Source organism: Homo sapiens, chromosome X (genome assembly GCF_000001405.40).
Source record: "Homo sapiens chromosome X, GRCh38.p14 Primary Assembly".
NCBI classification, from domain to species: Eukaryota; Metazoa; Chordata; class Mammalia; order Primates; family Hominidae; genus Homo; species Homo sapiens.
Genome location: NC_000023.11, coordinates 143,342,888 through 143,355,866, shown reverse-complemented (window position 1 = coordinate 143,355,866; position 12,979 = coordinate 143,342,888). Strand labels below are relative to the sequence as shown.

The 12,979-nt window shown below is 38.5% G+C and overlaps 1 pseudogene; it reads right to left on the bottom strand.

The window, feature by feature from the left end:
- On the bottom strand, window positions 11,001-11,892 carry PGBD4P6 (piggyBac transposable element derived 4 pseudogene 6; annotated as a pseudogene).

Here is a 12,979-nt window from a genome sequence, read left to right as displayed (position 1 = left end):
ATTTCTCTGATGGCCAGTGATGATGAGCATTTTTTCATGTATTTTTTGGCTGCATAAATGTCTTCTTTTGAAAAGTGTCTGTTCATGTCCTTTGCCCACTTTCTGATGGGGTTGTTTGTTTTTTTCTTGTAAATTTGTTTCAGTTCATTGTAGATTCTGGATATTAGCCCTTTGTCAGATGAGTAGGTTGCCAAAATTTTCTCCCATTTTGTAGGTTTCCTGTTCACTCTGACGGTAGGTTCTTTTGCTGTGCAGAAGCTCTTTAGTTTAACTAGATCCCGTTTGTCAATTTTGGCTTTTGTTGCCATTGCTTTTGGTGTTTTAGACATGAAATCCTTGCCCATGCCTATGTCCTGAATGGTAATGCCTAGGTTTTCTTCTAGGGTTTTGATGGTTTTAGGTCTAACATTTAAGTCTTTAATCCATCTTGAATTAATTTTTGTATAAGGTGTAAGGAAGGGATCCAGTTTCAGCTTTTTACATATGGCTAGCCAGTTTTCCCAGCACCATTTATTAAATAGGGAATCCTTTCCCCATTGCTTGTTTTTCTCAGGTTTGTCAAAGATCAGATAGTTGTAGATATGCAGCGTTATTTCTGAGGGCTCTGTTCTGTTCCATTGATCTATATCTCTGTTTTGGTACCAGTACCATGCTGTTTTGGTTACTGTAGCCTTGTAGTATAGTTTGAAGTCAGGTAGCGTGATGCCTCCAGCTTTGTTCTTTTGGCTTAGGATTGACTTGGCGATGTGGGCTCTTTTTTGGTTCCATATGAACTTTAAAGTAGTTTTTTCCAATTCTGTGAAGAAAGTCATTGGTAGCTTGATGGGGGTGGCATTGAATCTGTAAATTACCTTGGGCAGTATGGCCATTTTCACGATATTGATTCTTCCTACCCATGAGCATGGAATGTTCTTCCATTTCTTTGTATCCACTTTTATTTCATTGAGCAGTGGTTTGTAGTTCTTTGAAGAGGTCCTTCACGTCCCTTGTAAGTCGGATTCCTAGGTATTTTATTCTTTTTGAAGCAACTGTGAACGGGAGTTCACTCATGATTTGGCTCTCTGTTTGTCTGTTATTGGTGTATAAGAATGCTTGTGATTTTTGTACATTGATTTTGTATCCTGAGACTTTGCTGAAGTTGCTTATCAGCTTAAGGAGATTTTGGGCTGAGACAATGGGGTTTTCTGGATATACAGTCATGTCATCTGCAAACAAGGACAATTTGACTTCCTCTTTTCCTAATTGAATACCCTTTATTTCCTTCTCCTGCCTAATTGCCCTGGCCAGAACTTCCAACACTATGTTGAATAGGAGTGGTGAGAGAGGGCATCCCTGTCTTGTGCCAGTTTTCAAATGGAATACTTCCAGTTTTTGCCCATTCAGTATGATATTGGCTGTGGGTTTGTCATAGATAGCTCTTATTATTTTGAGATACGTCCCATCGATACCTAATTTATTGAGAGTTTTTAGCATGAAGGGCTGTTGAATTTTGTCAAAGGCCTTTTCTGCATCTCTTGAGATAATCATGTGGTTTTTGTCTTTGGTTCTGTTTATATGATTGGTGTACCTGAAAGTGATGGGGAGAATGGAACCAAGTTGGAAAACACTCTGCAGGATATTATCCAGGAGAACTTCCCCAATCTAGCAAGGCAGGCCAACATTCAGATTCAGGAAATACAGAGAACGCCACAAAGATACTCCTCGAGAAGAGCGACCCCAAGACACATAATTGTCAGATTCACCAAAGTTGAAATGAAGGAAAACATGTTAAGGGCAGCCAGAGAGAAAGGTCGGGTTACCCTCAAAGGGAAGCCCATCAGACTAACAGTGGATCTCTCAGCAGAAACTCTACAATCCATAGGACAGTGGGGGCCATTATTCAACATTCTTAAAGGAAAGAATTTTCAACCCAGAATTTCACATCCAGCCAAACTAAGCTTCATAAGTGAAGGAGAAATAAAATACTTTACAGACAAGCAAATGCTGAGAGATTTTGTCACCAGCAGGCCTGCCCTAAAAGAGCTCCTGAAGGAAGCACTAAACATGGAAAGGAACAATTGGTACCAGCCACTGCAACATCATGCCAAATTGTAAAGACCATTGAGGCTAGGAAGAAACTACATCAACTAACGAGCAAAATCACCAGCTAACATCATAACGACAGGATCAAATTCACACATAACAATATGAACTTTAAATGTAAATGGACTAAATGCTCCAATTAAAAGACACTGACTGGCAAATTGGATAAAGAGTCAAGACCCATCAGTGTGCTGTATTCAGGAAACCCATCTCATGTGCAGAGACACACATAGGCTCAAAATAAAAGGATGGAGGAAGATATACGAAGCAAATGGAAAACAAAAAAAGGCAGGGGTTGCAATCCCAGTCTCTGATAAAACAGACTTTAAACCAACAAAGATCAAAAGAGACAAAGAAGGCCATTACATAATGGTAAAGGGATCAATTCAACAAGAAGAGTTAACTATCCTAAATATATATGCACCCAATACAGGATCACCCAGATTCATAAAGCAAGTCCTGAGTGACCTACAAAGAGACTTAGACTCCCACACAATAATAATGGGAGACTTTAACACCCCACTGTCAACATTAGACAGATCAACGAGACAGAAAGTCAACAAGGATACCCAGGAATTGAACTCAGCTCTGCACCAAGGGGACCTAATAGACATCTACAGAACTCTCCACCCCAAATCAACACAATATACATTTTTTTCAGCACCACACCACACCTATTCCAAAATTGACCACATAGTTGGAAGTAAAGCTCTCCTCAGCAAATGTAAAAGAACAGAAATTATAACAAACTGTCTCTCAGACCACAGTGTAATCAAACTAGAACTCAGGATTAAGAAACTCACTCAAAACCACTCAACTACATGGAAACTGAACAACCTGCTCCTGAATGACTACTGGGTACATAACGAAATGAAGGCAGAAATAAAGATATTCTTTGAAACCAACGCGAACAAAGACACAACATACCAGAATCTCTGGGACACTTTCAAAGCAGTGTGTAGAGGGAAATTTATAGCACTAAATGCCCACAAGAGAAAGCAGGAAAGATCCAAAATTGACACCCTAACATCACAATTAAAAGAACTAGAAAAGCAAGAGCAAACACATTTAAAAGCTAGCAGAAGGCAAGAAATAACTAAAATCAGAGCAAAACTGAAGGAAATAGAGACACAAAAAACCCTTCAAAAAATTAATGAATCCAGAAGCTGGTTTTTTGAAAGGATCAACAAAATTGATAGACCACTAGCAAGACTAATAAAGAAGAAAAGAGAGAAGAATCAAATAGACGCAATAAAAAATGATAAAGGGGATATCACCACCGATCCCACAGAAATACAAACTACCATCAGAGAATACTACAAACACCTCTACGCAAATAAACTAGAAAATCTAGAAGAAATGGATAAATTCCTCGACACATACACCCTCCCAAGACTAAACCAGGAAGAAGTTGAATCTCTGAATAGAACAATAACAGGCTCTGAAATTGTGGCAATAATCAATAGCTTACCAACCAAAAAGAGTCCAGGACTAGATGGATTCACAGCCGAATTCTACTAGAGGTACAAGGAGGAACTGGTACCATTCCTTCTGAAACTATTGCAATCAATAGAAAAAGAGGGAATCCTCCCTAACTCATTTTATGAGGCCAGCATCATCCTGATACCAAAGCCGGGCAGAGACACAACCAAAAAAGAGAATTTTAGACCAATATCCCTGATGAACATCGATGCAAAAATCCTCAATAAAATACTGGCAAACCGAATCCAGCAGCACATCAAAAAGCTTACCCACCGTGATCAAGTGGGTTTCATCCCTGGGATGCAAGGCTGGTTCAATATATGCAAATCAATAAATGAGATCTGGTGTTTTTATAGGCTTCTGGCATTTTCCCTGCTGGCACTTCTCACTCCTGCCACCATGTAGAGAAGAACGTGTTTGCTTCCCCTTCTGCCATGATTTTAAGTTTCCTGAGGCCTCCCCAGCCCTGTGGAACTGTGAGCAATTAAACCTTTTTCCTTTATAAATTACCTAGTCTCAGGCATTTCTTTATAGCAGTATGGGAATGGACTAATACAGTAAATTGGTACTGGGTAGTGGGGTGATGCTGAAAAGATACCCAACAATGTGGAGCGACTTTGGAACTGGGTAACAGGCAGAGTTTGGAACGGTTTGGAGGTCTCAGAAGTAGACAGGAAGATGTGGGAAAGTTTGGAACTCCCTAGAGTCTTGTTGAATGGCTTTGACCAAAATGCTGGCAGTGATATGGACAATAAAGTCCAGGTTGAGGTGGTCTCAGATGGAGATGAGGAACTTGTTGGTAACTGAAGCAAAGGTCACTCTTGTTATGCTTTTGCAAAGAGGCTGGAGGCATTTTGCACCTGTTCTTGAGATTTGAGGAACTTTGAACTTGAACTTTGAACTTGAGAGAGATGATCTGGCAGAAGAAATTTCTAACCAGCAAAACATTCAGGAGGAGGAAGAGCATAAAAGTTTTAAAAACTTGCAGTCTGATGATGCGATAGAAAAGAAAAACCCATTTTCTGGGGAGAAATTCAAGTCTATGGCAGCAATTTGCATAAGTAACAAGGAGCCGAATATTAATCAACAAGAAAATGGGGAAAATGTCTCCACAGCGTGTCAGAGACCTCTGAGACAGCCCTTCCCATCACAGGCCTTGAGGCATATGAGGAAAGCATGGCTTCATCGGCCGGACCCAGGGCCACCCTGCTCTGTGCAGCCTAGGGACTTGGTGCCCTGTGTCCCAGGCACTCCAGTCATCGTTAAAAGGGGTGAAGGTACAGCTCAGGAAGGGCTCCAGAGGATGCAAGCCCCAAGCCTTGGCAGCTTTTATGCGGTGTTGAGCCTGCGGGTGCGCAGAAGTCAAGAATTGAGGTTTGGGAACCTCTGCCTAGATTTCAGAGGATGTATGGAAATGCCCGGATGTCCTGCGATGCTTTAGAGGTAGAGCTCTCATGGAGAATCTCTGCTAGGAAAATGTGGAAGGGAAATATGGGGTTGGATTCCCACACAGAGTCCCTACTGGGGCACTGCTTAATGGAGCTATGAGAAGAGGGCCACCTTCCTTCGGACCCCAGAATTGTACATCCACCAACAGCTTGCACTGTGCACCTGGCAAAACCACAGACACTCAATGCCAGCTGGAGGGGGGCTGTACCTTGCAAAGCCACAGGGGTGGGGCTGCCCAAGGCCATGGGAGCCCTCATTTTGTATCTGCATTACCTGGATATGAGACATGGAGTCAAAAGAGATCATTTTGGAATTTTAAGGTTTAATGACTGCCCTATTGGACATTGGACTTACTGGATTTTGGAATTGGTTTTGGCCAATTTTTCCCATTTGGAATGGGTGTATTGACCCAATGCCTGTACCCCCATTGTTTCTAGGAAGTAACTAACTCGCTTTTGATTTTATAGGCTCATAGGCAGAAGAGGCTTTCCTTGTCTCAGATGAAACTTTGGACTTGGATTTTTGAGTTAATGCTGGAATAAGACTTTGGGGACTGTTGGAAGGGCATGACTATCTTTTGAATTGTGAGGACATGAGATTTGGGAGGCGCCAGAGGCAGAATGATATTTTTTGGCTGTGTCCCCACCCAAATCTCATCATGAATTGTAGTTCCCATAATCCCCATGTTTCATGAAAGAGACCAGGTGGAAATAATTGAATCATGGGGGTGGAAATAATTGAATCATGCTGCTGTTCTCATGACAGTCAGTGAGTTCTTCATGAGATCTGATGGTTTTATAAGGGGCTTTTCCCGCTTTTGCTGGGTACTTCTCCTTGCTGCTGCCATGTGAAGAAGGACGTGTTTGCTTCTGCTTCTTCCATGATTGGAAGTTTCTTGAGACCTCCCCAGCCATGCTGAACTGTGAGTCAGTTAAAACTTTTTTCTTTATAAATTACCAGTCTCGGGCATATCTTTATTAGCAGCATGAGAATGAACTAATACAGGTATGCACACATTTATTCGATAAAAGACACAGGCAAATTTTAAAAATGTTGAACTAATTGATATAATTACTAATCAGATTATTATTGTAGCTAACAACTTTGATTCGATTTTCAGTTGTATTTAACTTTGTCCATCTAAAATTTGGTATAAAAGTTGAAGTTTTGGGGTGACATTACACAATTGAACCTAATAATTATTGGTAGCTTATCACAGTTCAGATTTGCCATGAGTATTTGCCTTTGCTATTTAAAATTCAATTTCTTTGGGGAAAATTCTCAACCTTTAATCTCTCCCTGACCCTGTTTGCAAGGGTTTGCAAGTACATAGAAGCCTTTGAACTCCACATCCTAATATACTTTTTCTTTATGTGACTGGACGGTACCTGTTAGAGATTTGGAAAGGGTGGCTGCCTTATTATGAAAGTATATTAAATAAATGCAGGTGCATTTATCTATAATTGTATCAGGTGATTATTTCTGTTAGGCCTCTATGCCTGACACACATTGCCAACACTCGCTTTACATGAAAGTAAACCGAGTTTTCTTTATTCAGATGTGTTTGGGACATTTGGATCATAGACCTTGTAACATGATAGATGGATGCAAGAAGCCTAATTGCTTCAGAAAAATCTAATTGAAAAGAACACTGGATGTTGGTGCCTCAGCTGAGATGAATAAATATAAAATGCTGTAGCCTATGAACAAGTTATAATTCAGAAATGTGACACTCCCATTTCTTTTTACTTACAACCTTAGACAGAACTTTGTAAGTTTTTGTTTGTTTGTTCATCTTTCCAAAGACTGGCCAACCTAGTAGGCCTTCTATGAGAGAATTTTACTGTTTTCTAATTATTAAAGAAACCAACAAAAAGCCAATTAATAAAAATAAATTTGGAGATTACCAGAATACAAAATAATAAAGGGCTTCCAAGATTATAAAAAACCAATGAGATGAAAATAATGTTTTATGAGTAGTAAATACCTATGTCAAGGCAATATGCTCTCACAAACATGTATCAAGCTTCCTTTCTGTTTTATGAGATTAAGAATAATGTGCTCTCTCATTATGATGTAGAGAATAATTTATATGTTTACATGACTAGAATAAAATTATTTGACTAGAATTTTTTCTATAGGACTAGAAAAAAATTATTTTTCTGTATAAAATGAATTTGAACTTTCATCCTCATTAAATTCAGTTACAAAAGGTTTAAACATGGCTCTATGCCAAGTTGTGTTTTGTTTTGTTTGGTGATTTTGTAAACTTAAACCAGCAGCTGTGCATGTTTCTGCCGTTCTAAAGTCAGGATTTATACATGTAATTTTTCAACTGAGGAAAAAAAGTTAAAAAAATCTTTAATGAATCACATAAAAAACAACTGAAAGAAATAAAACACCAAAGATGATGGTTTATTTATTTCCTTTTGTCAGCCTACATATTTACAAGATTTATAATGGAATTGAGGTAGTCATCTCTTAGAATAAGGCTTACCTTCCTACAAACTGGGTGAGTTAATTTTTAATGGAGTAATTCGGGAAATCAAGTAGGCTTTTGAAATCTTATATGGTGCCAAGAAGCAGGTTTGACTAATTTTCTGTTTAAAAAACAAAACAAAAAAAAAAATTCAACATCCCTTCTCTGCACCCTCACCTTACTCAAATTCCTCCAAGACCAAAGAAGGACCAGACTACAGTTGAACTTTTCCAGGATGAAGATTAGAAAAGCGAAACTGCTGGTCCAGCAGAACTCCTTCAGCAATACTCATATTTTGCAATGTCAGCTTCAGGATTTTTTTTTTTTTAAATTTAGCCACTCATTGGAAAGGATAAAATATTTGGTAAAGCATTATTATATTTTTTGTAGGAAGTACTAAGTGATATTTCCACCACCACCCCCCCGCCCCGCCCAGCATTTTGCTATGCTTGAACGAGAAAAGAAAGCTTTCTTAGGTCTCTCATCCAATTTTCCTTCTGTGCCTTCACATCCTTCCCCCTTCTCTGCCTCTCTCACTCACACCCTGAATTTTTAAAAGCAACCTTTTCCTCATATGAAGTCTATAAGCCAACTTTGTCTCTCTACTCCCATACTTGGAGCTTGCACCCAAGTATAAGACATCACCTAGAATCCACACCAGATTTTATACTTTCTTTATTACTCTAAGAAAGTATAAAATAATGCTTTCTTTATTACTCTAGGAAAGTTTTAGGGAGAATTTAACTTAGCCCTATGGAGACATTTTACTCAATAAGATGTACTCGATAAAGCTATTCATATGAATCTTTATTAATTCAAGGCTCTCAGTATTCAAAACTTTAGACACAGCAGTAGCTTTGGGGATTTCTCACCTTTATCCTTTTAAAAATAAATTTTCGTTGGTCACAGAAGCAAAGCGTTTTCCTTCTCATTTGATATCTACCCTGGAAACCTGGCAGAGAGCCATAGATTGTGCTAACTAAACATTAGTGTTGATCATGTGTTAGATCCACAAAATCATTTTAGCTTCAAACTTCCAGATGAAAAATGAAGTGAGAAAGAATAGAAGCTGGTATCCTTTTACATTAACTTTTTAAATAAATTTGATTTCATTGATTCATTATAAAGAAAAGCAAGAAAAGTTTAGCCTTCAAGTTGTCTTCAAACAAAAAGCTGATTGTTTTCTGCCTTCTACATATTCCATCAATAAAAAGAGCCCAAGAAAGTTTCTCCTGCCTCCTTTTCTATACGTGAATACACAGAACTCTGCTCAACGGACGCAGGGAAGAAGAGATGGCCAGTGACTGAATAGTCTGACAATGATCTAGTAATACTACAACCAACGGTGAAAACAAGTTTACATGTGTTGGATGCCTTCTGCATATGAGGCATTGTGCTCAATGCTTATGCAAATCATCTCATCAGACCTTTATCATAGCCCCATTGAATGCAAGTGATACTATCATTAACCCATTTTTCAGATTTAACAAAAAAACTGAGACTTGAAAAGTGAGAGATTCTCTTTGTATCTCTCACTTTTTAAGTCTCATTTTTTTAAATCAAAGAGGAGAACAACACACACCGGAGCCTGTTGGTGGGGTGGGGTGGGGCGAGGAAGAGCATTAGGAAAAATAGCTAATGTATGCTGGGCTTAATACTGAGGTGATGAGTTGATAGATGCAGCAAACCACCAAGATACACATTTACCTGTGTAACAAACCTGCACATCCTGCACATGTACCCCAGAACTTAAAATAAAAATAAAATTCTTGTAAAAAGAGATTGCCCAATGTGTGTAGTTTTGATTTAAAAATCGTAGCCTTTTCCATAGAGGGCAAAAACATGGCATATAATAAAATGTAATAGAATCAAAGAACAATAGAATACACAAGAACCAAAAGCATTAGCATTCACAGTACTGGTAACGTCTGTGCTTTTTTAAAAAAATTATTTTTTATAAAAAATATTTTATGCAAAAACATGGCATAAAATAAAATGTAATAGAATCGAAGAACAATAGAATAGACGAGAACCAAAAGCATCAGCATTCACAGTACCAGTAAGGTCCAGCTTTTTAAAAATAATTTTTTACATATACTTTCTTCATTCTAATTATAATTACTCTTAAAGGAGTAAAATCATTAGACACGCATAGAGCTAAGAACTTGAAGTAGAATAAAATATATGCAGTCAATTATACACAGATACATAGATGCATCTCTCATTATCAGATTAACTCAGGTTCACAGGATGTCAATTTTCTATAGTTTTCTAGAGTCAGTGCTGATTTAGTGTTTAAGAATTGAGACACTGACTTATTGAGAAAGAAGGCACAGCTTTTTACTCTTCTAAGATTCATTCGGTTATCCTGAAGTCTCCATTTACCTACAAAATATTGATTTGAGGCACAAACTCTTAACACAAAGCAAATGTTCCATTTTATCCCTAAAAGGCTTACATTTAAGTTATTGCCAGATCACTTTCCAATTACAATAATTCACAAGTTAAAACTGATTTACTCCATGAAACTTCACCTCCAGCTGCTGCCCATATTTTATGCCACCAGGCTAATCCTTAGCTTTCCCTCAATGCACATTTCAAAACTACGATATTTTAGGTCTGTATGCAAAGATATAGCTTCCACAGCAGAGGTGATCAATTATCAAATCCACAAATTATGTTTCCATTTCAACATTTATTCCAAAATATATTTGGTCAAATACATTTGCCTTCTTGATAATGACTTCTAGTAGGCATTACACAAAAATTTGCATTTACTCAGGGATAGTGATGAGAGAATTTCCGAGCTTGGATTATAGTTTAGGATGACTACATTTCAATTCCAGTTGTGTTCTTTTGGACACGTCACATTAAGTCTCTAGGACTTAATACTTTGTCTGTAAAATCAGAGTATCAGACTGTATGATAGTAAAGGTTCCATTCAGGTTGAAGATTCTAGGAGCTCAGATTTCAGATTTTCAAGACATTTAAATTATTTATGTCCTGATTCTCATATGAGCCAAAAAAAAAATTTCATCAACACCCTCGGGTACTCACATATAAATGACACATGATTTCAATGAAGTGAGAAAGTAGTCGTAGTTCATGCTTTTATTTTCATTATGCCCTCTCATGGGCAGTAGCTAACCTTTAGACTTTACATGTAATTTTTGTTAATTGCATGTTTATTATATTTTCCCTGAATTTATTGGACTTTTGACACCAGCAAGTCCAACTAATTATGGCTGTGGATTGCATCTTGTGGCAACCCATTCATTCGTTAACCCATTTTCTGTTTAGAAAAAGTGCAGCTCACTGCCAGTGCTCATTTCGTTTTATGTAAACATGCTTTTTGAGGCTGAAGAAAACCTGACTGATTTTCGAGGTTAAGATAAAATACAATAACTGTTCTTGGAGTTATTTCTAAACAGAACTTGTCTCTAATCCTAATGTAACAGAAATATAAGTGATGATCAATACTGAATTTTTTTTTTAGGACGTAGTCTCACTCTGTTGCCCAGGCTTGAGTGCAGTGGTACGATCTCCGCTCACTGTAACTTCTGCCTCCAGGGTTGAAGGGATTCTCCTGCCTCGGCCACCTTAGTAGCTGGGACTAAGGGGCCCACCACCATGCCTGGCTAATTTTTGTATTTTTAGTAGAGACGGGGTTTCACTATGTTGGTCGGGCTGGTCTTGAACTCCTGACCTCAGGTGATCCACCTGCCTCGGCCTCCCAAAGTGCTGGGATTACAGGTGTGAGCCACCATGCCCGGCCTAATAATTTTTTTGTGTGTGGTAAATTTCAAAGCATGGAACAACACAAGGTGGAACATCACATTCCTCACAAAAATATCGCGATTCTCTCGGGATCGTCTTGCCATGCTTGGCATTGTGCGAGCAGCAAAATTTGCAGCGATCAGTTGGATTCTGTTTCCCTGATGTTGATGGTATGGTCTTGGGAAAATATCTTCCAGTCGGGAGAAGAGGTGTGACATTATTAGAGCATAGAAAACTTCGAAGGCATTGCTGCCCTGGCTTGTGATGCTTTTCCAGCATTCTTTCAATCAACATCAGTCTGAAGTTTACATGGCTAATCATGCGCCCAGAATTGTTCCTCTTGAACAGGGTGTAGGAGTTCAGCACCGTAATGTTAGAAGGTGGTGAAAGAATTTCTCATACAAATCTTGTGCCTATTGGGCTCAGTTTGATAGGAAATGAGCATCTGATCAGTCAAGTCCACTGCTCCCACATTCTCATTATAATCCTCAATGACAAATGGCTTCTTAGTTTCCTTTCCATTTCTGTTGTCTACTTCAATCACGGTATCATTGTGGAATGTTGACAACATTTTCACTTCCTTCTTGTCACATCATTTCAGAGCCATAAGTTCACCACTGAATTAACATCACATGTAGGAATGCTACTTTTTATACGATTTGACATTTTCAGCTATTGAGATTCACTATATTTTGTAAATGGAAATATCACTGCTAAAACTAGAATGCTTTAAATAGAATGATGTCTACCTGTGAGTTATCTAGGAGTAAATGTTGCAGGCACAAGTGCCACTGGCAAGTATTCTCAGGGCAGGTGTGAAATGGGTTAATCCATTTGTGCATTAATTTAGCACATATTTATTGAGTGTCTATGACATGATAGCCACTGATCAAGGCACTGAGGAAACAGGCTGAACACAAGTATATTCCTTGCTGTCATGGCACTTACAGTCCAATGCTGGAGATAAAAAATAAGAGAGCAATAAATATTACAAATCATGCCTAGTAGTAGAGGGAAACAGATTGTTGTAATATAGAGTTACCATGAGAGGTGGGGAGGAGATGAGAAGAAATCTGATTGAGAATACGTGGTCAGCAAAAGCTTCCCTAAGGACTGGCATGTCAGCTGCACCCTCAGAAAGAAGAAGATACTAGCTATCTGTAGGGCAGTGGAAAGGTTGTTAGGGTCAAGGGAAAAATATGTGAAGAGTTTCTGGACAGGGAAGAACTTGTAATGCTTACACTTAGTTAGAGAACAGAAACTCAAGGGGAGAGTGGTGTAAGATGGTATAAGATGATATTGGAGACACAGGCAGCAATTAACATTGGCTGAGAGCTTACTTGGACCAGCAATTCTTTTAAGCACTTAATATGGATTATCTCCATTGATACTCATAGCAAACTGATTAATTCAGTATTATCATCATTAGTCCCATTTACAGATGAGGAAAAGAATACATGAAGAGTGTGAGTAACTTGCATAAGGTTACTCAGTTGTAAAGAATGATGCTGAGACTTTTATCCATGTAGTCTGACTTCAGAGCACACACTCTAAACCAAAACATAGTATGGCCTCACAGACAATGGTCAGATGACAAAGGGCCTCTAGGCCACTACAAAGGATTTGAGTTGGATTGTAAATGTAATGGATAGCTATTCAGCAGTTCTTGGTAGCTTAATCTAAACTATGTTGTAAGGAAGCCTTTCCAGC